We start from the raw sequence: 27,336 nt of genomic DNA, 5'->3' as shown, positions 1-27,336 counted from the left end.
CTAATTTTTGCATTTTTAGTAGAGACAGAGTTTCACCATATTGGCCAGGCTGGTCTCAAACTGCTGACCTCAAGTGATTCCCCCGCCTTGGCCTCCCAGCGTGTTGGGATTACAGGCGTGAGCCACTGTGCCCAGCCTGGAGATTTTAAAGTACCTAATATAACTATGTTCCATGAGATGAAGGTAAAAACATTTGAAATGAATGGAGAGACAGAAATTCTCAACAGAGAAACAGAAATTATAAAAAAGAATGAAACAGAAATTTTAGAATTGAAAAATACAGTATCTGAAATAAAAAATTTATGTTGAATGGTTTCAATAGCAGGATGGAGATGGAAGAGAAAAGAATAAGTGAACCTGAAGACAGAGCAATAAAAATGGGCCAATCTGAAAAACAAAAAGAAAAATGGTTAAACAGAGCTTCAGGGACCTATGGAATGATATCAAAAGGTTTAATTTGGACAGATTATTGGTAGCAGAGTCGGGGGAAATGGTCTAAAATTTGTGCAACTGAAGTCTCAGAGAGAGAAAGAAGAAAGAGATAATAGGTATAAAAAATCATTTTAAAAATAACGGCTGAAAACTTGTCAAATTTTGTGAAAGGCATACATTTACAAATTCAAAAGGCCCAGTGAAGCCCAGATTAAATGTAAAGAAAACCACATCTAGGCCAGGCGTGGTGGTTCACGCCTGTAATCCCAGCACTTTGGGAGGCCGAGGCGGGTGGATCACCTGAGATTGGGAGTTGGAGACCAGCCTGACCAACATGGAGAAACCCCATCTCTACTAAAAATAGAAAATTAGCTGGGTATGGTGGCGCATGCCTGTAATCCCAGCTACTCAGGAGGCTGAGGCAGGAGGATCACTTGAACCCGGGAGGTGGAGGTTGCTGTGAGCTGAGATCGTGCCACTGCACTCCAGCCTAGGCAACAGAGCTAGACTCTGTCTAAAAAAAAAAAAAAAAATCACATCTAGACACATCACAATCAAACTTCTGAAAACCAAAACTAAACAAGAAAAAATCTTGGACAAGGCCAGAGGAAAATCAACACATTATGTATAGGTCAGGAACTACTAAATGACTACAGATTTCTTATTAGAAACCAGAGAGGGCCGGGCGCAGTGGCTCATGCCTGCAATCCCAGCACTTTGGGAGGCCGAAGCAGGCTCATCACGAGATCAGGAGATTGAGACCATCCTGGCTAACATGGTGAAACCCCATCTCTACTAAAAATACAAAAATTAGCCAGCCGTGGTGGCAGGCACCTGTAGTCCCAGCTACTCGGGAGGCTGAGGCAGGAGAATGGCGTAATCCCAGGAGGCGGAGCTTGCAGTGAGCCGAGATTGCGCCACTGCACTGTAGCCCGGACGACAGAGCGAGACTCCGTCTCAAAAAAAAAAAAAAAAAAAAAAAAAGAAAAAGAAAAAAGAAACCAAGGAGGCCAGAAGACAGTGGGATAACATCATTAAAGTGGTGAAAGAAAAGAAATGTTGGCTGGGTACAGTGGCTCATGCCTGTAATCCCAGCACTTTGGGAGGCCAAGGTGGGCAGACCATTTGAGGTCAGGAGTTTGAGACCAGCCTGGCCAATGTGATGAAACCCCATCTCTTCTAAAACTACAAAAATTAGCCGGGTGTGGTGGCGCATGCCTATAGTCCCAGCTACTCAGCTACTCGGGAGGCTGAGGCAAGAGAATCACTTGAGCCTGGGAGGTGGGGGTTGCAGTGAGCTGAAATCGTGCCATCCATTGCACTCCAGCCTGGGTGACAGAGCAAGACTCCATCTCAAAAAAAAAAAAAAAAAAAAGAAACGAAACGTTGACCCAGAATTCTATATCCAGTAAAAATATTTTTCAGGAAAGAAGATGAAATGAAGACATTCTCAGATGAAGAAAAACTAGGAGAATTAATTGACAACGGACCTGCTCTAAAAGAAAGTGGCTAAAAGAAGTTCTTCAGACTGAAGGGAAATGATACTAGAAGGGAACTTGGAGCTTCAGGAATGAAGAAAAAACAACAACAAAAAAAAGGGTAAACACAACAGACTATTTTCCTAAGTTATTTAAGAGATATATATATATATATATATATGGCTTTTGAAAGCAAAACAAAATATTGTCTGGTGGGGTTTTCAATGCATATAGATGTAATACCTATGACAAGTATACCAAAAGGGTAGGGAATATAAAGGAACTTTTATGGTTATAAAGCTTCTGTATTTTACTTTAAATGGTAAAACATTAAGTAGAATGTGAAAGTTTAGGTATATTATATACCTTATAGCAACCACTTAAAGTTGTAAGAGGCAAAAAGCCAATAACACAAATTAAAATGAAATACTAAAAAACACTCAGATAATCCAAAAGAAGGTAGGAAAGAGGCTGAAGAGGAACAAAAGGCATGGAACAAATAATAAAATAGTAGACCTAAACCCAACAATATTAAAAATTCTATTAAATGGTCTCAACATAACAAAAAAGATATTGTTAGAGTTCACAGAAAAAACAAGACCCAACTATTTGCTGTGTATAAGAAACCCACTTAAAAAATATAAAGACATAGGTTAAAAGTTAAAGAAGCTAATTAACATAAGTGTCACTAAAGTTGGTATATAACCCTCCACTGCTAAATTCAACTAGCTTAACAAAAGGGTAAAAAGAAAATGACACAAAAACCTGTTACGCAAATATAACAGTATTATTTTGTAATAGCCAGAAGGTGCAAACAACCTAAATGTTCACTAACTGATGAATGGATAAATAATATTCATATGATGGAATATCATTCGGCAATAAACAGGAATAAAGTACTGATACATGTCACAACTATGTTCATTTATGATGAACCTTGAAAACAGTATGCTGAAAATCCCTGTTCCACCCTTCCCTCCCTGGAAAAAAAAAAAGGAAATAGTATGCTAAGTAAAAGAAGCCAATCACAAAAGACCATGTATTGTAGGATTCCATTTAACTAAAATGTCCAGAATAAGCAAATCCATAGAGACAAAAAGCAGAGTAGTGGTTGCCTAGGAGCGAGGTAAGTAGGAATGGAGAGTGACTGCTAATGGGCATGGGGTTCATTTTAGGGTGTTAAAAATGTTCTAAAATTAGATTGTAATGATGATTATACAACTCTAAGAGTGGTTTTTTTTTAATGTGGTTTTTAAAAAGTAAAGAAAGGGAAAAGATGTATCATGCAAACAAAAAGGAAGCTGGAATAGCTGTACTAATATCAGACCAGGTAGACTTCTGAATAAGGAGTATTATCAGGGATAAAGGGAGACATTATATAATGATACAGGGGTCAATTCTAAATGTTTATGCATCTAAAAGAACTTCAAAATATATTAGGCAAAACTGATGGGACTAAAAGAAATAGACAAAATCACAAAGAGGCTTCAAAACCCTTCTTAGTAATTGATATAACAAGTAGACAGAAAGTCATCAATGATACAGAAGACCAGAACAGACTACCAGTCAACTTGCCCTAAATTATATTTACAGAATATTACACTCTAAAAAACAGAATACACATATTTTTCAAGTGTACATGAAGCATTCACCAAGATAAACCATAATCTGGGTGATAAAACAAACCTTAACAAATTTAAGACTTGAAACCATATACCTTATGTTCTCTGACCACTATGGAATTAAACTAGATATCAATAACAGAGATATCTGAAAAATCCAAAAACACTTCCTAACTGAAGTAATACACTTCTAAGTAACTCATGGGTCAAAAGGAAGACACGGGGTAAGCTAGAAAATATTTTGAACTAAATTAAAATGAAAATACAGTATATCACAACTTGTGGGATACAACTAAAGCAGTGCTTAGAAGGGAATTTAGAGCATTAAATGCTTATATTAGAAAAAGAGAAAGGTCTAGAATCAGTGATCTAGGCTTTCACCTTAAACTACAAAAAGAAGAGCAAGTTATATCCAAAGCAAGCGGGAAGAAATAAAGTGCAGAAATAAAATTAAGAACAGAAAATCATTAAGAGAAAAAAAAAAAAAATCAATGAAATGAACCCAAAAGCTGGTTTTCTAAAACAATCAGTAAAATTGATATCCAAGCCAGACTGAGAAGACATAAATTACCAGTATCAGGAGAAAGGGAGAATCACTATATAACCTACAGACATTAAAAGCATAATAAGGGAATATTATGAACAACTCTATGCCCACAAACTCATTAACTTGGATGAATGGATCAATTCCTTGAAAGACAAAAATCTACCAAAGTTTACTTAAAAAAAAAAAAGCCTAAATAAATGGAGAATTATACCATATTCCTGTATAATCCTAATCAAAATCCCAGAAAGCTGATTCTAAAACTTATATAGAAAGTCAAATGAACTACCAGAGTTAAATATAAGAATAAAGTTAGAGGACTCATTTTATCTGATTTCTAGACTTACTATAAAAGGTATAGTAATCTAGATAGCATGGTAAACACTAATGGATAGACACGTACATCGGTAGAAAAAATAGAATAATAGAAATAAACCTACATGAATATGATCAACTGATTTTTTAAAAATCAAGGTATAAAGGCAATTCAATGGAGAAAGGTTAGTCTTTTCAACAATTGGCATTGGAACAAATGAACATTAATATGCTAAAAAAGAACCTTAACCTCTATCCTCTACAAAAATTAACTCAAAATGGATCAGGGATCTAAATGTAAAAAGTGAAATTATAAAACTTGAAGATGAAAACTTGAAGATGAAAATCTCTGTAACAATCTTTGGCTAGACAAAAAATTCTCAGACACAACATCAAAAGCACGATCCATACAAGAAAAACTTGTAAATTAGACTTCTTTAAAATTAAAAACTTCTGTTCTAAAAAAGACAGTTAAGAAAATGAACAGACCAGGCTTAAGCTGAGAGAAAATATTTTCAAATCACATATCTGACAAAGGCTTATACTTACAATCTATAAAGAACTTTTACAACTCAAATGCATTATGCTAAATCAAACAGGCCAAACTCAAAAGGCTATATATTATACGATTCCATTTATATGGCAGTCTGGAAAAGGCAAAACCACAGGCTGGAGAATAAATCAGTGTTTGCCAGGGGTTTGGGTTCAGCATAGGTACTAATTACAAAGGGAATTCTTTTGGGGGGTGTGAAATTATTCTGTATCTTGTTAATGATGATGATCACAAGTCTTTTTACTCCTAGTACCATATACCAAAGAGTGGATTTTACTCTATGATAAATAAAATTTTTAAAATATATCTTTAAAAAAATTGAATAGTAACTAAGTAAACTTAACATGCCAATCCACCAGAAAGCACTTTATTCAGATGCAAAAAAGAGATAATTTATTTCTATTATTTTTAGAGTTAAGACAAGCTCCAAAGAAAGTTTACCGGTGCTGGGACTGTAGTCTTTCTAGTGGTTCAGCCTTCTGTTGAATCCCTTCCTGAAATATCGCATCTGCTTTCCTAAAGTTTTCTCTAGCTTCATATTCTTCTGCCCATGAGATATAGAACTGAGCAAGTGAAACACCAATCCCTTGGTTGTGCAAGTAACTGTACATATCCAAAGGCTCATTGCATAAACGCCCCTGTAACAGAAGTGTTAACAGTTAACCAATTTCTACTCACGTATTGAATGCCTATTAGTTGCCAAACAATCACTGGAGATACTACATGCAATTCCTGTATTGAAAAAAAAATCTATTATTACAATGTGATAAGGACCATACTGGGAGGACCTAAAAAAGAGGCAAAACTGAGCGATTTGTAAGAAGAGTTGGAGAGTAAAGGCTTCAAGAAGGAGTAATAAGCCAGGTGCAGTCGCTTCTGCCTGTAATTACAGCACTTTGTGAGGCCGAGGTAGGAGTAGGAGGATCGCTTGAGGTTAGGAGTTTGAGACAAGCCTGGGCAACATAACAAGACCCTGTCTCTACAACAAAATTTAAAACTTTAGCTGGGCATGGTGGAAGGCGCCTGTAGTCCTAGCTACCCAGGAGGCTGGGGCAGGAGAATCACTTGAGCCCAAGAGTTTGAGGCTGCAGTGAACTATGATGGTGCCACTGCATTCTAGCCTGGGTGACAGAGTGAGACCCTGTCTCTAAAGAAAATTAAAAAAAGGGGGGAGGAAGGGGTTAACATTTGAGCTTAGCCCTGAAGGAGAAATGGACTTTTATCAGGTGGAAAATGGGAAGGGAAGGGTATTTCAGCCAGAGAAAATAGCATAAGCAAAGATACAGAAAATTAAAAGTTATGTAGGGGTCCAGGCTAGATAGTTGTCTGGAGAAAAAGGCTGTGATAGGTCTTGAATATCAAGCTAATCAATTTTGAATCTGCCTAATAGTAATTGTTGTATGTGTTAGGGTGGGTGAGCGATAAGCAAAGGAATGACATAGTCAAATCTGTGTTTTAGAAGGGACATTATGAGACCATATACAATGTAGATAATTCTATTAGCAAGAGGGAGGAAAATATCACTAAAAACCTCACATCACAAACATTTTGATAAATTTTTTCAGTCTTTTTTCCCTTAAGGATGAAAGGATATGTATTATCTTATAAAGTTTTGATCATAATAAAATTTGCTTTTATTCCACTATAATACTGCATCATTCACTTTTCCACGCTGCTGCTTACACTTAACCATTATTTTTAATTTTTTTTTATTTCTACAGACAAGGTCTTGCTCTGTTGCCCAGGCTGGACTGCAGTGACGCAATCATAGCTCACTGCAACCTCGAATTCTTTTCACTATTATTTTTAAATGAATGCATCATGTTTCATCTAATAGAGCTTCCATAATTTAATTGTTCATCTACTTCTGGATATTTAAACAACTTCTAATTTTGCCCAATTATAAATAATTCTATAAAAAATAACTTCATGCATACAACCTTTCACATTTTACATTATTCCCTTAAGAGAAATTCCTAGAACTATGTTAAAAGGTAACAAATTGCTTTCTGAGAAGGTTGTAAAAATTGTTAATGCTAAAATTTAATAATTCGCAAAAATACTCATTCCACCAGACTCTAATCAGCATTAGAAGCTATTAAAAACAATCCCTAAATTCACATAAAAATAGCATTTTTTTTCCTTTTTTTTGAGACAGAGTCTCACTCTGTCGCCCAGGCTGGAGTGCAGCGGCGCGATCTCGCCTCACTGCAACTTCCGCCTCCCAGGTTCAAGTGATCCTCCTGCCTCAGCCTCCCGAGTAGCTGGGACTATAGGCGCCCGCCACCACGGCTGGCTAATTTTTGTATTTTTAGTAGAGATGGGGTTTCACCATATTGGCCAGGATGGTCTCCATCTCTTGACCTGGTGATCCACCCACCTCGGCCTCCCAAAGTGCTGGGATTACAGGTGTGAGCCACCATGCCTGGTCAAAAATAGCATTTCAATGTTCTAGTTAGGAGTTCTGTTACTACTAGAGAAGCTACCATTTGTTACTTTACCAAATATCTCCTATTTATCTGTTCCTAATTGTCTAGCCCAGGTTAAGTCCGTCTTGTATTTGTTCCTATAGAACTCGTAATTTTCTCTCTGTTACAGTTACAATTAATGGCTTCATATTTGTCTTTCAGATAAACTAAGCTCTACAAACTCAGAAGACATTGCTATGATATGCCAGCCCTTAATCATGGTCTAGTACAACAAATGCTAAATAAATGGAATGTTTTATTTATATCTTTAACAAAAATAATTAGTATTTTATAGTTTAATTTTGCAGTAATTCAGTAAATGGATTTTTCTTGCTTATTTAAATTAGTGATGTTTTCTCATATGTGGTGGTGTTTCAAGAAAAGTTATAACTCTGAATGTGCTACCAGCATAAGATCCAGTCTTTGATATCTGTCACTACATAAATATAGCTTAACATTGATTTCACTATTTTGAGAGCTTTCTGAATGGTTCTGGTGTTCTTGTGCGTGGGACAGCCAGTAAAGATCAGGTTATTCAGAGTGCTGAATAAGATCACTTAAGAAATAACATAAATAAAAGGACTATATGGTTAGATTAATAGATCTAAAAGTTAAATAAACCTTTTTTTTGGTAACCCTTAAATTGCCAAACTAAAATAATTTTATACCTTTAAATAAAAATACCAGAAGTTTTCCAGAAACAATTTTTTCCTTAGCTAGACTGTAGGAGTCACATAAAATAACTGACTGGAGAAATCCTTCTGCAAAGCGAAAGAAAGTAGTGTGAAGAATTCATCTGTTACTCCTCTTGACCAGACCCACAAAGAAAAAGCAATAGTTTAATATGTACCTCGTTAGCCACATACAAAGTTCAGATTATTGCTGATCATTCTAGTGCTGATCATTTGAATTTGATGGTTGTCTATACCCGTGCTTCTCAAAAAATCTGTGGCGAAGGGGCCAGTTTTATTGTGTGTATGTGTGTGTTCCATTATGGACTGATATAAAGTACAATAAAAACAGAAGTTACTCAAAGAATGATGATGTGCTTGGATGTCCCGGCAATATCAAATTGTTACCAAAGTTTCCAAAAGCTCACTTTCAATTTTTGAACTTATCTCAAACAGTATGCAAACCCTTCTTTCAGTAGCACTGATCTAGATTATGCTTTTTACTTCATGATATTATTCTTCTTCAGTACAAGCACCAGGTTATCAAAAATAAACAGATAAATTATTCTAATTAATTGTTACTTTTAACAACTCCAATTAAATATAATCATAGAATCCTGGGATTAAAAGTCACTTTAGAGGTGCAGCTAGTCCAATCTTTTTTTTTTTTTTTTTTTTTTATCTTTTTTTCTGAGACTGAGTCTCGCTCTGTCGCCCAGGCTGGAGTACAGTGGCATGATCTCAGTTCATGCAACCTCTGTCTCCTGGGTTCAAGCGATTCTCCTGCCTCAGCCTCCCGAGTAACTGGGATTACATGTGCGCACCACCACGTGCGGCTAATTTTTGCATTTTTTGTATTTTTAGTAGAGATGAGGTTTCACCATGTTGGCCAGGTTGGTCTCGAACTCCTAACCTCAGATGATACACTTACCTTGGCCTCCCAAAGTGCTGGGATTACAGGTGGGAGCCACCACACCCAGTCTCCAATCTTATAATAAATTACATGTAAAGATATTATTTAGGCTAGTGACAAATGAAGGACAAAATCCATTGTTACACCACCAGGGTCCACAGACTCCAGGCTAACAAATCTGTTTAGCATTCTTTGGGTGCCATTCTTCATTATAAGTTTCTGTAACTAATATCCATAGGGTAATTTCTCCAACCTTTCACTAAGGATGTAAAAATATTTGTCGAATGTCCTGAGGAAATCAAGATACCTCATGGCTTCAGGATTTACCTAATTTTCTATACTTGTAACTACAGTTGACCCTTGAACAACACAGGTCTGAACTGCATAGGTTCACATATACAGATTTTCTTCCATCTCTGCCACCCGTGAGACAGCAAGACGAACCCGTTTTCTTCCTCCGCAGCCTACTCAATGTGAAGACGAGGATGAAGATCTTTACAATCATCCACTTAATGACTATTAAATATACATTCTCTTCCTTATAATTTTCTTAATAACATTTTCTTTTCTCTAGCTAAGATTGTTGTAAAAAAAAAGATATAATACATATGGCATACAAACTATGTGTTCATCAACTTTATGTTATTGGTAAGGCGTCTGGTCAACAGTAGGCTATTAATAATTTTGGGGGCCAAAAGTTATATGCAGACTTTCAACTGGGTGAGGGGTGGGCACACCTAAGCCCTGTGTTGTTCAAGGGTCAACTGTATTGGAAGTTTAAAATCAGTCCTCCTTAAGACTTTAGTAAGAAATTTATTTCTTACTTTATTACTTTATTTTAGTAAGAAATTTATTTCTTACTTTATTACTTTATTTTAGTAAGAAATTTATTTCTTACTTTATTACTTTTAGTAAGAAATTTATTTCTTACTTTATTACTTTATTTTAGTAAGAAATTTATTTCTTTATTTTAGTAAGAAATTTATTTCTTACTTTATTTTATTAAGAAATCTTATCAGTTTTAATGCCAAGAGATTTATTTTAGTAAGAAATCTTATCAGTTTTAATGTCAATATTTCATCATATTGTGGTGGTTGTAAATAATTCCAAATATTTATTGTTTATTTTTTTAAATTTATTTTAGAATAAAAGCAGTAATATTAATGTCTAACAAACGGTGGTCATTTTTTTAATAAAAAATATGTTTTTCCTACATGTCAAGTAAGACAGTACAAAGTAGTGCTGGGATTACAGGCATGAGCCACCATGCCCAGCTGAGGCAGACATTTTTGGCTGTAGCAATATACTAGGTGAAAAAAGTCCAAAGACCAATAAAAAACTAAAATATCACTTCTTTGTGTTGATGACTTTCATAAAGGAGTGAAAGGGATACCAGAATCACAGAGGGAAGTTTTTCCCCAAACAACCACACTGCTGCCAAATGTTAGCTCCTGCACCTCCTCCTCCAGTACAGTTGAATGGCCCAATTATGTTTTTCTGTTTTGGTTGTTTTTTTGAGACAGGATCTTGCTCTGTCACTTGGGCTGGCGGACAGTGGTGCAATCTCAGCTCACTGTAGTCTGGACGTCCCGGGCTCAAGCGACCCTCCCACCTCAGCCTCCTGAGTAGCTGGGACTACAGGTGCTGTGCCACCACACCTGGTTAATTTCTGTACTTTATGAGATGGGGTCTCACCAATTTTGCCCTGACTAGTCTTGAACTCCTGGGCTGAAGCGATCAGCCCACCTCAGCCTCTCAAAGTGTTGGGACTACAGACATGAAACACTGCACCCAGTTATGTTTAGAATAAATAAATAAGTAATCCGGACTAGGGGTGTTGGCTCACGCCTATAATCCCAGCACTTTGGGAGGCCAAGGTGGGAGGATGGCTTGAGCTCAGGAGTTCAAGACCAGCCTGGGTAACAGAGAGAGAAGTCATCTCTATTAAAAATTAAAAAATTAGCTGGACGTAATGGCACAGCACCTGTAGTCCCAGCTACTCACGAGGCTGAGGCGAGAGGATTGCTTGAGCCCAGGAGGTTTAGACTGCAGTGAGCCATGATGGAGCCACTGCACTCCAGCCTGGGTGACAGAGTGAGACCTTGTTTCAAAATATAAAATAAATTATTAATCCATACTCACTGAGAGATCTACAGACTTTGCGATCAATCTTAAAAGGGCGAAAATACCTTATTATACTATATTTAAGTCCACCTTTAAGTAGAACCAATTTAAGAAGTATTGCATATTTATTAAATGTTTCCAATCTACTAAATGGTTCAAAATGGCTGTTTTACTTTTTTTTTGGTATACCAGATACCTCTAGAGAAAATCTCTTAGTTTAATATTTAAAACTCAGATGGCACTTGAGAAAGACTTACTAATTTAAGCCAGAGATTGAGAAATCGAGGATCACTATAATATCGTTTTTCTCCTTGTAGTGCTTCTACAGCTCTTTCTAATAACGTTGACATATTACTCTCCTTCCCACCTTGAGGATAGTTCTGCTCTGTCCAGCTGATATACCTAAATGGGAGGAAAAAGATAAGAACACATTTTAAATTGAACATGTACTTTTGTTCTTGCTCCAAGACCCATTCTGGATTTTAGCAGAAGTAAAGTATGTTTCTTTTGAGGTCCTCAATGACATACCCTAAGCCTGTATCCCTCAAACTTCTCCAAAGTATCTCTAGTACATGCTTCTGGGGAAAACTGAGGATAGGGATAGAAGGGTGTAGTTCAAAGTTGTACATCATAAACTTGAAATTTCTTGAATCTTAAACACCTCAGGAAGATATATTATGATTATTCTGGATCTCTGTGCCCCCAGGACACCACTGTCTACTCTGACACACACTCCATATACCCCAATTTGAGAAACATGGCCATAAGGACTTATCTGTTAATGTTTCTATTGTCCTTGTGAAATAAAAAGACCCACCTATCCCAAACATCCAGAGGGTCATTTCCAGTGTAAAATCGAATTTCATATTCAAATGCCCTGAAATGTAAACAGAAAAAGTTAGCATATGCAATAGTGACAACAGCCAATGAACAAGTATCACTTCCATTTTTATTCATGTAATAAGTAGGTAATATTGATCTAAATTATTGCACTAGAGTTTATGGGTTTGTTATAGAATAGAAAAAGGCCAGGCATGGTGGCTGATGCCTGTAATCCCGACACTTTGGGAGGCCAAGTGGGGTGGATCACTTGAGGTTAGAAGTTTGAGACCAGCCTGGGCAACATGGTGAAACCTCATCTCTACTAAAAACACAAAAATTAGCTGGGTGTGGTGCCAAGCACCTGTAATCCCAGCTACTCGGGAGGCTGAGGTGGGAAGAGCACTTGAACCTGGAAGTAGAGGCTGCAGTGAGCAGAGATTGCAGCACTGCACTCCAGCCTGGGCAACAAAGCAAGACTCTGTCTCAAAAAAAAAAAAAAAAAAAAAAGAATAGAAATAATTAAGATTCTACTTAACATAAGAAGAGAGAGAAAATATATAGAAATTAGAGAAACAAATTTCAAGACAACATACAGAAAAGTAGTATTAATACTACACAGCAGTTAAGAACTCTGGAACAAGACAACCTAGATTCAAATTCAGCTCCACCAATCACAAGCTGAGTAACACGGACAAGCTACTTAAAACTCTGTTTTCAGTTTCCTCATTTGTAAAATGGGGATAATAATAGTACTTTCTTATTAGGTTGACTAGTCTTAAATGTAAAGGGTTTACACACATGAACAAATATATAAATAAGAATTTTAAAGTTCAAAAAAAACTTCCATGGGTAACATTGGTCAGAGAAGAATAATACTATAAATAATTTGGAGAATACCTCAAAAAAAGGGTAAAATATGACTATAAAAAGCTGGGAAAGGCAGAGGGCTAAGACCAAATTAAGACTGACCAGTTAGAATAGAGGGGAAGAATTAGGTAATAAGCCAGAATTTGGATAATGATTAATAAAAATTGGATAAGCAGTTATGTTTGATCTAAAAATAATTAGTCCCTGACACATGGGAATTTATACTCTAATAAGAAAAACAAAGTACACAAATGAAAAATGAACTAGTAATACAAAGCAGGATACTAAATTACAGTTGCCAAGAATGGATAGTAAAGGCTTTAAGTCAAAAGGAGGTATCACAGAAGCAGCCTCAGAAGGTGAGACTCTGAAAGAACCATGGAATTTGAAAGAAAAACAGTTTTTTCAAGACAGAGGGAAACTAATATTGAATAAAATTACGAAGGTGGAAGAGCTCATCCAAAGGAAGGTGAGTGAACCCTAAGCTATAACATAAAGTCAGTACCGAGAGCAAATGGAGACCCCTGGAGAAGTAAGAAGCACATGCTTTAAATGTAAATTTAAAGACTTTGGATTCCATCTACTCCAGCCACTATTGGTTCTTTAATTGGAGGGCATCTTAAATATAAGATTTCAGAAAGATTAATCAAGCAACTTTATAAGGATAGCCAGGCATTAGAAGAAGGGACCACAGTTATGAGGCTAATATGGCAATTAAAGTGTGAAATAATGAGATTATCTGCAGAAATGGTAAAACAATAAAATCTAAGGCACTACTGATAAAAATCAGCAATCCTACCAATTGATCTATAGATTCAAACCAATGTAATCAAAATCCCAGTAGGCTCTTTTCTTTTCTCTTTTTCCTTTTCTTTTTTTTTTGAGACGGAATTTCGCTGTTGCTACCCAGGCTAGAGTGCAATGGCACAATCTCGGCTCACTGCAACCTCCACCTCCTAGGTTCAAGTGATTCTCCTACCTCAGCCTCCCGAGTAGCTGGGATTACAGGCATGCGCCACCACGCCCGGCTAATTTTGTATTTTTAGTTGAGACAGGGTTTCTCCATGTTGGTCAGGCTGGTCTTAAACTCCTCACCTCAGGTGATCCGCCTGCCTCGGCCTCCTAAAGTGCTGGGATTACAGGCTTGAGCCACCGTGCCCAGCCTTTTTTTTTTTTTTTCTTTTTCAGTAGGCTCTTTTCTAGAAATTGACAAGATGATTTCAAACTTTGTTTGCAAAGGCAAAGGACCAAGAATAACTAAAGCAATTTTGAAAAGAACAAAAGCTGTAGAACTCACTCTGCTGGACTTGCTATGTAAAACTAATCAAAACAGTGTATTTTATTGGTGAAAGGACAGACAATTTGATCAATGGAACAGAATATAGAGTCCAGAAATAACCCACACATATGTGGTCAAATGATTTTTGAAAAGGGCCCCAACGCAATTCAGTGAGGAAAGGAAAAAAAAAAATCTAACAAATGAGGCAGAACAACTAGAAAGATAACCCATATGAGAGGAAAAAAACTTGTTTACTCCAACCCCACACCATATACAAGGAAAAATTTAAGAAAAATCATACACCTAAACATAAAAGCTAAAATAATGCTTGGCTGGACGCAGTGGCTCATGCCCGTAATCCCAGCACTCTGGGAGGCCGAGGCGGGCGGATCACCTGAGGTCAGAAGTTCAAGACCAGCCTGGCCATGGGGAAACCCCATCTCTACTAAAAATACAAAAAATTAGCCAGGCGTGGTGGTGCGTGCCTGTAATCCCAGCTACTCAGGAGGCTGAGGCAGGAGAATCACTTGAACCCGGGAGGCGGAGGTTGCAGTGAGCTGAGATTGCGCTCCAGCCTGGGCAACAAGAGCAACACTCCGTCTCAAAAAAAAAAAAAAAAAAAAAAAAAGCTAAAATGAAGCTAGTAAAAGAAAACATAAGAGAGTAACTTTGTCACTTTGGGGTAGGCAAAAGTCTCCTGAAGAGGACACAAAAAATGCTAACCATAAAAGAAAAATACTAATTAATTGAACTTCATCAAAATTTAAAACTAAGCAGTTTAAAAAAAAAAAAACACCCAGAAAATAAACAGCCATGGGTGAGGGAAAAAAAATTTGCAACACATATATTTGATAAAAGACTAGTATAGAGACTTTATAAAGAACCCCTACTGAGGAGCATAGATTCAGGGAATCTTGAATCTATGCTCCTGAAACTTGAATCAGGGAAACTTGAATCTATACTCCTGGGAAAAGTAAATAAAGAACCCCTACAACACAATTTGAAAACTGGGCAAAATATCTAAACAGATACACCACAAAAGAAGATATACAAAAGGCCAAAAAGCATGTGAAAAAACGTTCACCATTATTAGTCACCAGGGAAATGCAAAGTAATGAGACACAACTCCACAAAACTAGAATGGCTAAAACGAAAAAGATCGACAACACCAAATACTGGAGTGGATTTGGTACAAATGAACTCTCATGAGTTGCTGGTAGAAATGTAAAATGTCACAACCTCCTTGGTAAACCAGTTTCTTCAACAGTTAAACATACATCTATTCTATGGTCCAACAATTCCACTCCAAGGGAAATGAAAATTATGTCTACTGCTGGGCGCGGTGGCTCACGCCTGTAATCCCAGCACTTTGGGAGGCTGAGGCGGGTGGATCACAAGGTCAGGAGATCGAGACCATCCTGGCTAACACGGTGAAACCCCGTCTCTACTAAAAAATAGAAAAAATTAGCTGGGCGTGGTGGCAGGCACCTGTAGTCCCAGCTACTCAGGAGGCTGAGGCAGGAGATTGGCGTGAACCCAGGAGGCAGAGCTTCCAGTGAGCCAAGATCGTGCCACTGCACTCCAGCCTGGCCGAAAGAGCGAGACTCCGTCTCTAAAAGAAAAAAAAAAAAGAGAGAGAGAGAAAATTATGTCTACAAAAAGCCTTGTTCAAGAATGTCCATAGCAACATTATTTATAAAGCACAAAACTGGAAGAATCTAAATATTCATCAATTGGTGAATAAATAAATGAAATCCTATTCAGCAATAAAAAGAGCAATCTACTGATGCATGTAACATGAAAAAATATGATGAATGAGGCTGAGTGCGGTAGCTTACGCCTGTAATCCCAGCACTTTGGGATGCCAAGGTGGGCGGATCACTTGAGCTCAGGAGTTCAAGACCAGCACAGCCAACATGGCAAGGACCCATCTCTACTAAAAATACAAAAATTACCCAGGCGTGGCGGCGCACGCCTGTAATCCCAGCTATTTGGGAGGCTGAGGTGGGAGAATCACTTAAAACCGGGAGGCAGAGGTTGCAGTGAGCTGAAATCAGGCCACTGTACTCCAACCTGGGTGATAGAGGGAGACCCTGTCATATTAAAAAAAAAAAAAAAATCCAAAGAGATGAATAAGAATAGTCATTGCATTATAATCCCAAATTATGATATTTTGCCAGTAATGGCAGTATTTCTTTTTGTCAGAGATTGAAGGTAGAAACTGATACTCTGATTTACCTTTTTTTTTAAAAAGCATATTTATCAAAACATGTATTAGTTAAAGGAGATCCACAGGTCCATTTGAATAACATAAGAGTATTTTTCAGCTTTTATTTATCCAGAGTTTGTTAAAATTATTGAGAACTTTCTGGTATAAATTCAATTGTTCTGAGGTTTACATGTCTTTGGAGACCACTTCTTTTTTTGTCATACTCTCAAAAATAAGTTCCTAACATAATACTTTTGGGAAGCATTGCAATATAATACTTGCTTTACTATGCTTATCACTGCCCCCTGTATAAAATGTATTTCTATTGATAAAAAGAGTTTCGCTGCACCACAGTGAAATGAAATCCTATAGCCCTTGTTCTTAATTATACCTGAGGACATCTTCAGATAGCTGTCATGTGATACGAAAGCAGGTAGAGAACAGATTCTCATACTACCAATTTTTGAAAAGTACTCATTATGCCATCTCTCATGGATCCACACCCACGTTATCTACAACATTTAGGATGAATGACGACAGGTTGAGACTCAGCCATTCTACACACCGTTTCTGCTGCTGAAGAGTATTGTTACAGGCAGATTCTTGTGCCAGTGCTCCCTGAAGCGTGGACATGATCCGCCCTTGCCTTAAAGGTTGTACATTTTCTTTACTCAGTTCCCATTCATCTCCCTCCAGGGACATGGCTTCACTGTGAAGAAGGAAACAAATGTAAATCTCATACCAACATTGACTATTATAGCACTAGATTATTGTAAATGTCTTCCGAAAGGTGATTATTCATGGTCTTGGGTTGAATATAGTGGACTGACACATAATTATTATTATTATTATATGCCTAAGCTTCTTTGTTAGCTGTTTTTCAAGTTTATGGCTACAGTATTGCCTGATAGAAGACAACTTGGCAAGGATATCGTAGACAGTACTATAAGAATAGGGCATGGCTATGTGCGGTGGCTCACACCTGTAATCCCACCACTTTGTGAGGCCGAAGTGGGAGGATTTCTTGAGCCAGGAGTTTGATACCAGCCTGGGCAACATAGCAAGACCCTGCCTCTTTCTTTAAAAAAAAAAAAAAAAAGAAAAATGAATAGGGCTTAAGGCAGAAAGAAAAGAAGGGAACAAAAGTGTTATAAATTTGGCAAAGTAGACAAAAAGGCAACAAGTAATTCTATGCCTACCATTGAATGCATCATCTAGTTTAATTTAAAATTAGTGCCGGATGTGGTAGCTCATGCCTGTAATCCTACCACTTTGGGAGGCTGAGTCAGGAGAAGTGCTTGAGCCCAGGAGTTCAACACCACCCTGGGCAACATAGGAAGACCCCCATCTCTACAAAAAGTGAAAAATTAGCCAGGCGTGGTGGTACACGCCCATGGTCGTGGCTACTTAGAAGACTGAGGTGGGAGCATTGCTTGGGTTCAGGGGTCGAAGCTGCAGTGAGCCATGATCACACCACTGCACTGCAGCCTGGGCAACAGAGCAAGACCCTGTCTCAAAAAAAAAACATTAAAATTAGCAAAGTGTGGGTGAGACTAATGTCCCATGTTTCAATGATGATTCAAAACTGAAGTTTGTACATATAAGTAGCTAAAAGCAGAAGCAAACAAACACAGTTTACTAGTCACAATTCCCTGCATCCTCACACCCAATTCTAGCAAGCCTACTGAGAAAACCCCCGAAACGTTTTGGAGGTAATTCCCATTACGTATTCTGCAATTCAGAGCCCTGCAATGGTTAGATAGAAGACTATTTCTAAGAGACATTACCTCTGGACTTAAAACAAAAAGAGAGACACATTGGCACTAATCTTTGAAATAGAGTGAAAGTTATATGTGACTTCAGTCTAGATGAGCACTGAAAACTCGTTGGAGACAGCTTCTTGGAAACTATGACTTTAATCAAAATGACATGTAACAAAACCAATTTTACCACAGGCTGATCGACATAAACAAAAGTTAAGTTCCTATGGCATATTTCTGGTCACAAAAACGTCACCAAACTTCTGAATAAAGACTCGAAACAAACATTTTTAATACTAAATATTGAAATAAATGTGAGCTATCCGTACACTTAAGAACATTTAATGAAAACAAAAAATAATCATTTACCCAATTTTTGGCGAATCAGTGAATGACTGCAGTCATAGTGTTGGTGGGTTAACTCAAGGAATAAATGTTTGAGAGTGAAAATTTCAAGAAGTACCTCCTACCACCACAAAGTTCAAAAAACAAATAGTAACACTATAGTGGGCATGCTGGGCACTTTCATAAGGCATTGTTTATTGTCATGCATTTATATGATTATCATACACACTTTATATAAACTTTTTAAATAGAGACAGGCCTTACTATGTTGCCCAGGCTGGTCTTGAACCGCTGAGCTTAAGCAATCCTGTTGCCTCAGCCTCCCGAAGTGCTGGGATTACAGGTGTGAGCCACCGCTCCCAGCCTTTACAGATTTTTATTTTACAGTAATTTGTATTCATTCCTTCATTCATTTTCCAACTCACTTATTCTAGTTCGGGGTTGAGGGTGGCCAGAGCCCATCTCAGCAACTCAGAGAGGAACCAACCCTGGACAGGACACCACTCCATCACAGGGAGCATCACATTCACACCCATTCAGACTGGGATCATTTAGACACGCCAATTAACAGGCACATCTTTGGGATGTAGAAGGAAACTGGAGTACCTAAGGAAACCCATGCAGACATGCGGAAAACATGAAAACTCCACATACACAGCAGCCCCGCAATGAATTGATTTTTTTTCTCATCAACATTATAACGAAACGATGTTATACCAGGACCTGCTCTATATTGTGTGAACTCTGTAAAGGTAAGGGCTATGCCATTTATTTTTGTATGCCCATGATCTAATACGAGATATAACACTATTATGCCCTGTTTGTTGAATTCATCTGAACTTTCTTCTCTTGCTCTTAAAAATAGTGAATTACACTATCTCAGTTAAATATCCCAAATTGAGCTAAGACTGCCCCCACTTCCTCCCAGACCTGCTCCTCCCACAGTCTTCCTCTTTCTCAAATAAATGGCAATCCCATTCTTCAGTTACCCAAGCCAAAAATCTTAGTGCCAACTTTGATGCCCTTCTCATACCCCTCAGTCAGTCAGCAAGTCCTACTGGTTCTACCTTCAAAATATATACAGAAATCAACCACTTATCATCATCTCCACTGTTTTCCACCTGGCTCAACTCACTTTTGAGCTGAATTATTTCAATAACCTCTTAACTGGTGTCCCTTGCTTCCATCCTTTGCTGCCTTTAGTGTATTCAACACTACAGCCAAAGTGACCCCATTTAAACCCAAGTCAGATTATGTCTTTCCTTTGCTCAAAACCTTCCAATGACTTTTGATTACAACTAGAGTAAAAGCTAAGTCCTTACAATCTGCATCTTCACCATTTTTACATAATATCCTTTTACTCTTCTAGTTAATTCTGCTCCAGTGACAATGGCCTTGGACATGCCAGGTGCAACTTCCTCCCCTAGCTCTCACCCTCAGCCTTTGTACTCTCCTCAGATATAGAACCTCTAGCTTTTGAGATTCCTTCAAGTCTTGACCAAAGTGACATCTCCTCAGTGAGACTCCAGTGTTCAAGTTAAATTGCACCAATCCCCACCCCCAATATTCACTACACCCAGTTGCTTTATTATTTTTTTTAGTACTGACCACATCTCCACCTAACAGTTTGTCTTTATTGTCTGACTCCCCCACCTTCATCCCATGCCAGAACTTAAGCTTCATGAGGGTTGAGATTTTTGTGTCTGTATATTTGCTGCACTCAGAGCTTAGCCAAAAAAATACTTGTTACATGAATGAAAGAGCCCATGACATAGCACTTATCTAGGTATTGCGGGCACCACAGTGAAAACACATACAGATTTCCAACCTAGAACTGCAATATAGTTTTTTTAATACAAGGAAAAGCCGCAAACATGCAGAAAAAGGCTTTTAGATCTCTATGTTATTGGCATAATTTAGATCTCTATGATATTGGCTAAAGGCTTTCAGATCTCTGTGCTATTGGCATAGCACCTGCCATTTGTTGAGCGCTTATTTGGAAGCAGTTACTTAACAAATACTTTGAATTCCCCCAGAACCACGTAAGGCAGCATTAACATCAGCATTTTCCATACAAACGATTTGCCCAAGGTCAAACAACTAGCAGGTGGCTGAGCTGAGTTACAAACAGACAACATTGCAACTTCCAAACTCTTTGTTCCGCTGGGGTCCCGCAGCCTTCTTCGCTTTGAAGCTGGATGCGGCAGGATTCGCACGTGCCCTCAGTCCACTGCGTTTTCACCTCCACCTCCGGCATTCTACTCCAAAAGGAAGGAGGCTCCGGTGGGGTCTGTTCTGACGGTGCCGATCTCCCCCTCGACTGCTCCGAGCGGAGCCTTCTATTACCTACCAGGCCGTGTCCTCTCAGGCCCAGCCCCCAGCAGCTTTCTCCCGTACCTACCTCAGAGCACCCCCTTCCTTCTTCACCGCCGCCATCCTGCATTCCTGGCTCAGGTCCTCGTCCTGCTGCAGGCCTTTCCTCTGGGCCACAGACCGCCTGGGCTTTCTTCCGCAACCTGCCCTCGGAGCTACAGAAGCGACCAAGGCACGTACACGACTCCCTAACAAACCGGCCACCTCAAGCCCACACCCCTAGCCGCCAAGTTTCAAATTTAACGGTCCCGCGCGGTCGACGTGGCCACGCCCCTCCGCTCCTCCGTGCTCTCGCGTCTCGCCCAAGGCATTCTGGGGCTTGTAGTTTATGCCTGTTTAGTCCGCGAACTCGCGGTGCATAATGGGAATTGTAGTTTTTGGGATTCAATGGCCGTGGAAGTGCAGCAGGCTTAGGCAAAACAAATACCCCCAGGTGCTGTCTTGAGTCGCGGCTCGAAGCCGAGTCTCTGAGCCGAGCGAGGAACACTTAAAGCACCAGAACTTCTTTGCTGTTTTGAGTGTTGGGAGATGTCTCTGAGTGCTTGCACTTGGCGTGACTCTTGTAGGGTGACTACCCCTGCTGTCTGCCCCAAATCTCACCCGTCCGGAGTTCTTAGGCCACTGACCTAGCTGTTTCCTGCCCCACCCTTGAATTCAAAAAGCTGGATTCTAGTTCTGTAAAATCATACCAAATGTGCAACCTTAGGCAAGCTACATAATCTTTCTGACCATCAGTTTTCCTCATCTATAAAGTGATGATACTGTCTTGCTTTCTCTTCTGCTCAGTCCACAAGCAGTAAACACAGCCATGCTATGGTTCCCAAGGTGTTACCTCTTTTCCCCTTCAGGGGACTAGCCTTGACTGACATTAAACTGTTTGTTGCAATTTCAATTTTCTGAGGAAGAAATTGTGATAGCTCAGATGTGACCAGGGGAGTAGAGTCTTTTTGTTTGTTTGGTTGGTTGGTTTTGTTTTAGAGACAGGGTCTTCTTCTTGCTCTGTTGCCCAGGCTGGAGTGCAGTAGCCCCATCATGGGGCTACTGCATTCCAGCCTCCAACTCCCGGGGTCAAGTGATCCTCCCACCTCAGCCTCCGCAGTAGCTGCGATTACAGGCATTAGCCACCTTGAGGAAGGAACAGGGTCATTTAAGAAAGCCCAGGTACAGGGGAGTTCTCCTTTATGACTGTGGGGATGGTCAGAGAGGTGGCACTTCCCAGAGGCAGATGCTGAGGATACTGTCCACTACCCTCTGGTTCTTAGTTCCCAGCTTTCTGTCTTTGTTCATGTTATATAAGTCCTTCTTTCCTCTGAATCATCAGGACTCTTGATTCCAAAGAAGTAGAAATCCAACTTAAATCGGCCTACTCAGAAAAGGGAATTTACTGTCTTTTATATATAAAAGACTTCAGATAAAGCTTAACCCAGGACTCATGTGGACTGGGCCTCTCTCCATTTCTCGCCTCTACTCTTGTTGTTGGCTTATTGTCATTCTCCATTGGGTAACAGATTCACGACTTTATCCTTACAGGTTCAAATTCAGACTTAGGAGTCACCCTGCTTAACCCCTTCCTCCCAAACAGTCACTGGGGATAGTGGATTCAGGGCTTTGATTGTTCAGAACCAAGTCATGTGTTTCACCTTGGGACTGAGAGAGGGGAAGGGGTGATTCCTCATAGGAAATTTTGGTTACTCTTTACATCAAAGTCCTCCACATCCAGGAAGCTTTCCTGGATCATATGAGGTGTGGTGCGTGGGATTCTCTCACTGGCTCATTTTATCTCTTACCTTATGTCAGTACTGGCCTAGCACTTCATTTTCTTTCAACAGGGTGTCCTGTTCATATCTACAGCTTCTCAATTTTGACTATTTCCTACAAACAATCTTGGAAACGTAGTGTTTGGTCTTTTGATCTCAGTCTTTCCTATAACCTAGTCGGATTCCCCATAAACTCTGCTACGATGTAGAATGCATTCAGGCTAAACCCCTTGCTTGTTTCACTACGGGAAAAGAAGGAGGTAGGTAAAACAAAACTCCAAAATGTATGACAGAAGGTACTCTGTGGTTTAATTTGGAAAATGAGTTTTTAGGGATGTCCCATGAACTGATGGGTGGAGCTCCCAGCAAGCAAGGTTTGCCTTTGAGGAAGAGGAATGCTGAAAGCAGCAGGGTTTGTCTGTGGACTTGGGGGAACTGGAGTGAGTGGGGCACAGGATATCCACCTTGGATTGTGACCCTTTGTTGGCCTGGTCCCAAGGACTTACGGTTTTGTGGAGTGAGGGCCTGAGGCAGTGGCCTTAAGAGCTGGTTCTATGTACTTTGGAAGGCTGAGGCGGGCGGATCACTTAAGGTCAGGAGTTCAAGACTAGCCTGGCCAACATGGTGAAACCCCGTCCTACTAAAAATACAAAAATTAGCTGGGTGTGGTGGTGCATGCCTGTAATCCCAGCTACTCCGGAGGCTGAGGCAGGAGAATCGCTTGAACCCGGGATGCGGGGGTTGCAGTGAGCTGTGATCATGCCACTGCACTCCAGCCTGGGCAACAGAGTGAGACTGTCTCTAAAAAGGAAAAAAAAAAAGCTGGTTCAGTGTGATGCCAGCCTCCAACAGCACTGCCTTCGTGCCCAGGCGCCGAGGGCACAGCCTCACTTGGCCATTCTGAGAGCACAGGGAGGCCCTCCCTGGAGCCAGACATCAGCACCCCACAGTGGACACCAGCAGAAGCAAGATGTCCTCCAGTAGCCTTGGAGACAGAGGCCATCAACCAGAGAGAGCTTGAGCAGGACAGGAGGAACATGGCAGATGCTCTGAAAACACCCAGACCACCTAGGGAAGGCTTCAAAAGGAGGGACTCATTCAGTGCCACACATACAGTTGCATAAATATTGCTGCATCCGAGAGTGCCTGTCACGCAAATGGGGACATTTTTCTGCTTTTTCTACTCAGAGAAGGCACCTTCAAAAGTGCCCAGAGAGGCCTCCTCTCTCTAATTCACACAAAGCCCTGTGTGCAGCGGCCCTGGGGCCCTATGGAAGAGCCAATGGGATTCTCCTGACTAGTGCATGTGACTCCATAGGTCTGAGGCCTGAGGAAATGGGTTACATAATGTTCTGTCCTTATTTCAGGAGGTGACAATTCTAAGATAGCTGAATGGGGGTAGGGATGGCTCCTGGCAGAGCCAATCCATTGTGGGGACACTTGCAGGAGAATGGAGTGTCTGTGGGTGGATATGTCTGAGCCGCCATTGCTTTTCTGCCAGGCAGGCTTCCTCACTTCCTCTCTGACATTGCCTCCTGGGTCTTGGTGCAAACTGTGGAAAGTTTGCTTCTTCCCTTCTCGGGGGCCCAGCTGGGAGCTACTCCTGCAGATCTGGACTCTGCATTGCTTTTCCAAAGAAAGGCCAGAGGTCAGAGGCCCCCAGGCTGGGAGGGGCCAAATGATTGGAAACAACTTAACTTCGCTGAATGTGGGAACTAAGTTGGCTACAGCTAGGTGCGAGAAGATTGTTAGAATTAAGAGAGGTGACAGCTGTTTTACCTCTTTCCCATCTCTGCCTTCTTCTCTAAAGGCTGTCCTTTTAAAGTTTTACCTGGAGGTGTGGGTCCCAGTCAGAATTGGCCAACATTCTCCCTTTAAAACAACCTTAGGAGACTGAGGGCCAGTGGGAAACTTGAATTTGGGACCCGCCCAGAGCAACTTTGGAGGAACTCTTTATGTTTTAGAATTTCAGGCTCACCTCTGGGATGATTGAACATACCAAAGATGAGAACCCCAGCCTCTTTTTTGAGATGCAGTCTCACTCTCTCACCCAGGCTGAAGTGCAGTGGCACAATCTCTGCTCACTGCAACCTCCACCTCCCAGGTTCAAGCGATCTTCCTGCCTCATCCTCCCATGTAGCTGGGACTATAGGCGCCTGGCTAATTTTTGTATTTTTAGTAGAGACTGGGTTTCACCATGTTGGCCAGACTGGTCTTGAACTCCTGACCTCAGGTGATCTGCCTGCCTCGACCTCCCAAAGTGCAGGGATTACAGGCATGAGCCATCGTGCCTGGCCAACCCCAGCCTCTTGAGCCAAGACAACCACAAGCTTCCGCTCTCCATGTAGGTCTTTGACACTTGTTGCTCTGAGGCATTTCAGTGCCTTTCTTCCAACACGGGCTCCCAAGCTAAAGCAGGGAGAACAGAATCCAGACAAGCAGAGTTAGAAACATCATCTCCTAACAGCCAAAGATGGCATGGAGGGCTGCAAACCTCTCTGGATCTATCTGAGCCTATTTCTAGTTTTCCGTCCAAACCCTTTGTAAGGAGCTATTGACATGGTTTGGATGTTTGTCCTCTCCAAATCTCGCATAGAAAGAGGCTTCTCCATTGTTGGAGATGGGGCCTGAAGGAAGGTGTTTGGATCCTGGGGCAGATCCCTTATGAATGTCTTAGTACCATCCCCTTGGTGAATGGTGAGTTCTCATTCTGAGTTCACCTGAGATCTGGTCGTTAAAAGTATGTGGTACGCCCCTTTCTCTCTCTTGCTCCTTCTTCATCTTCCACCAGAAGTAAAAGCTCCTTGTGGCCTCCGTCACCAGAAGCCAAGCAGATGCTGGCGCCATGCTTCCTGTGCAGCCTGCAGAATCTCTAGCTAATTAAACCTCTTTTCTTTATAAATTACCCAGCCTCAGGTATTTCTTGAGAGCAATGCAAAAATGGCCTAACACAGCTATAGAAGGCAGTGGGCATTCCAAGAGAAAAGGCTTTTTTTTTTCTTGCTAGCTCTGGTTCCCTTTGTTGTCAATGAGGAAGATGTGGCATTTGAGAGGCTGACTACTGCCAGCTGTGGGATGTGTGCCTGGAACAGACTCCCAACAATGAATATGAGTTACCTATGGCAGCTGACATGAGGAAGACCCCACTACACAGACGAGCATGAGAGAGGCCCATCCGTCTACCCACAGGCTGCGCCTTCCTCCTCAGTGGTAAACAAAGATATTGGACCAGTTGACCTCTTTCTAGCAGTCAAAGGCTCCAGTTAGCCTTGTTTTCTTCACTGGTGTAGAAAAGCTATGAGAATATGGGTTCTAACTCTTCATCCCTAGGACCTGGCCCGAGGCAGGTACTCAATCAATACTGGTTAACTGACTGATTGACAGTAATGAACAAAAGAGAATAGCTAGCACATGACCTTGTTGGACCAAGCACTCTAGGATGTCCACCATTCATTTGACAAACATTTCTTGAATATTTTGTGTCGGGTGCTGTGCCAGGCACCAGAGATATAAATATGAAAAAAGCACCAGTCTTATGCTCAAGAAAAACAAAACAATCTATGATATAACAGCTTATGAGCTATAGCCCCAGCAGGAGCCTGGAGTTAGGGGAACTTGAAAGAGGATGGGGGCCCTCCCACACCCAAGCATGGGGGCTGAGAGAACAAGAGAAAGGGAGGTTGGGATTGCTGCCAAGAGGGGTCTTTAAAAATGAGTAGGAGTTACTAAAAAGAGAGAAGGGGCTTTCCAGGTGGAGAGAATAGCACAGGAAGGACTAGGAGGCAGGAGAGTGAGAGTGCATTCGGCATCTGGGGAAGTGCAGGTGGTTGCAATGGCAGGAGCCTAGGAGAGTTGTGAGGACCTGAAATGAGACCCTGACTCACTGTGCCTGACAAGCAGCAGGTGGGGAGCAAACCCAGCCCCTTCAGTTTTGAGCCCAGGGCGGGCATCCAGCTGCATTGTCAAAGCAGGGGCTTATCCCACTGAGCTCTCAAGTTTCCCAGCTGTGGAACCACCTATTCCTCCCACTTCTGGGAAGGGCCTGCAGGTGAGAAGGGGGTGGGGCACAGAATGGGCACCTCACCCACCTGTATGCATTTCCTTCCTCTCCCCAGACAGGCTCTGGGATGCCAAACTGTTTTCAATCATTGGCTTTATTCTAATGAGCCCGTTAAGGCTGCCAGGACTCAGGGGGAACCGGCCCAGCTGGTCTGACTGGTTGGGCAGCACTTTGTAATTCCTGCTTCTCCCGGAGGGCTCCTATATCTCCTCTGTTCCACTCCTCAATGCTCCTAGCTTGGACATTGCCTGGGATATGCCAGGCTCATGGCCCTGGCTCCCCTTTGGCCAGTACTTATCAACCTGGCACTTCCTAGCAAGCCCCTAACCCCTTGAAGCCGTGATGAAGAGCACTGTGATGTTTTAACTTCTGCATCTTTCCTTTCCTCCCAGACCCATCTGTAGACAGGCAGTCCTATTGTCAGGCAAATTGCATTCATCCAAGGTCTTAAGAGTGGAGGGACTCTCCTCTTCCAGAGTTCACACCTCAGGGCAGCTCTACTCCACCAAGAGTCTTAGAGGGAATGTCTACTTGTCTTGGGCACTGGGGAGCATTGTGAACATTTAATGGGGATGGGATAGTCTGTCCCACAAAGCATGGGACAATCCCACACAACAATGCATTGTCCCACCCAAAATGGCAGTAATCCCCCTCCCACCCTTGAGAAACACAGTTGGGCCCACTCTAGTCACACACAGATGTGCGGTTTGTATAAACTCCATGAATGTGATTCTCAAACTTGAT

The 27,336-nt window shown here is 40.8% G+C and overlaps 1 protein-coding gene and 1 long non-coding RNA gene across 2 annotated transcripts in view, besides 4 other annotated features; one reads left to right on the top strand and one right to left on the bottom strand.

The window, feature by feature from the left end:
- The window catches only part of LOC107984763 (uncharacterized), a 67,810-nt gene extending 57,643 nt beyond the window's left edge, over positions 1-10,167 (top strand). The window contains exons 2-3 of the long non-coding RNA XR_001751506.2: positions 1,858-2,031; positions 7,575-10,167. This is a non-coding gene — a long non-coding RNA (uncharacterized LOC107984763). The remainder of the gene's footprint in view (positions 1-1,857; positions 2,032-7,574) is intronic.
- Positions 1-20,990, bottom strand: part of BUB1B (BUB1 mitotic checkpoint serine/threonine kinase B) — a 60,055-nt gene extending 39,065 nt beyond the window's left edge. Inside the window, exons 1-5 of the mRNA NM_001211.6 lie at positions 20,804-20,990; positions 16,863-17,006; positions 11,938-11,997; positions 11,378-11,522; positions 5,386-5,582 (exon numbers count right to left, since the gene is read on the bottom strand). Coding sequence (NP_001202.5) covers positions 5,386-5,582; positions 11,378-11,522; positions 11,938-11,997; positions 16,863-17,006; positions 20,804-20,838 — 581 coding nt within the window. The 5' untranslated portion in view covers positions 20,839-20,990. The remainder of the gene's footprint in view (positions 1-5,385; positions 5,583-11,377; positions 11,523-11,937; positions 11,998-16,862; positions 17,007-20,803) is intronic.
- Positions 19,835-20,599: an enhancer, noted in NCBI's record as "NANOG-H3K27ac-H3K4me1 hESC enhancer chr15:40453661-40454425 (GRCh37/hg19 assembly coordinates)". NCBI's record gives its function as "activates a minimal SCP1, AML or CMV promoter by ChIP-STARR-seq in primed H9 embryonic stem cells {active_cell/tissue: H9 hESC(primed)}" and the evidence as "EXISTENCE:reporter gene assay evidence [ECO:0000049][PMID:30033119]".
- Positions 20,607-20,736: an enhancer, noted in NCBI's record as "active region_9237". NCBI's record gives its function as "activates an Ori minimal core promoter by ATAC-STARR-seq in GM12878 lymphoblastoid cells {active_cell/tissue: GM12878}" and the evidence as "EXISTENCE:reporter gene assay evidence [ECO:0000049][PMID:35858748]".
- Positions 20,757-20,856: an enhancer, noted in NCBI's record as "active region_9236". NCBI's record gives its function as "activates an Ori minimal core promoter by ATAC-STARR-seq in GM12878 lymphoblastoid cells {active_cell/tissue: GM12878}" and the evidence as "EXISTENCE:reporter gene assay evidence [ECO:0000049][PMID:35858748]".
- Positions 23,730-24,590: an enhancer, noted in NCBI's record as "H3K27ac-H3K4me1 hESC enhancer chr15:40449670-40450530 (GRCh37/hg19 assembly coordinates)". NCBI's record gives its function as "activates a minimal SCP1, AML or CMV promoter by ChIP-STARR-seq in primed H9 embryonic stem cells {active_cell/tissue: H9 hESC(primed)}" and the evidence as "EXISTENCE:reporter gene assay evidence [ECO:0000049][PMID:30033119]".

The sequence above is a fragment of the Homo sapiens genome, chromosome 15 (genome assembly GCF_000001405.40).
Source record: "Homo sapiens chromosome 15, GRCh38.p14 Primary Assembly".
NCBI classification, from domain to species: Eukaryota; Metazoa; Chordata; class Mammalia; order Primates; family Hominidae; genus Homo; species Homo sapiens.
The sequence above is the reverse complement of the archived record's forward strand: the minus strand, read 5'-3'. Positions and strand labels throughout refer to the sequence as shown.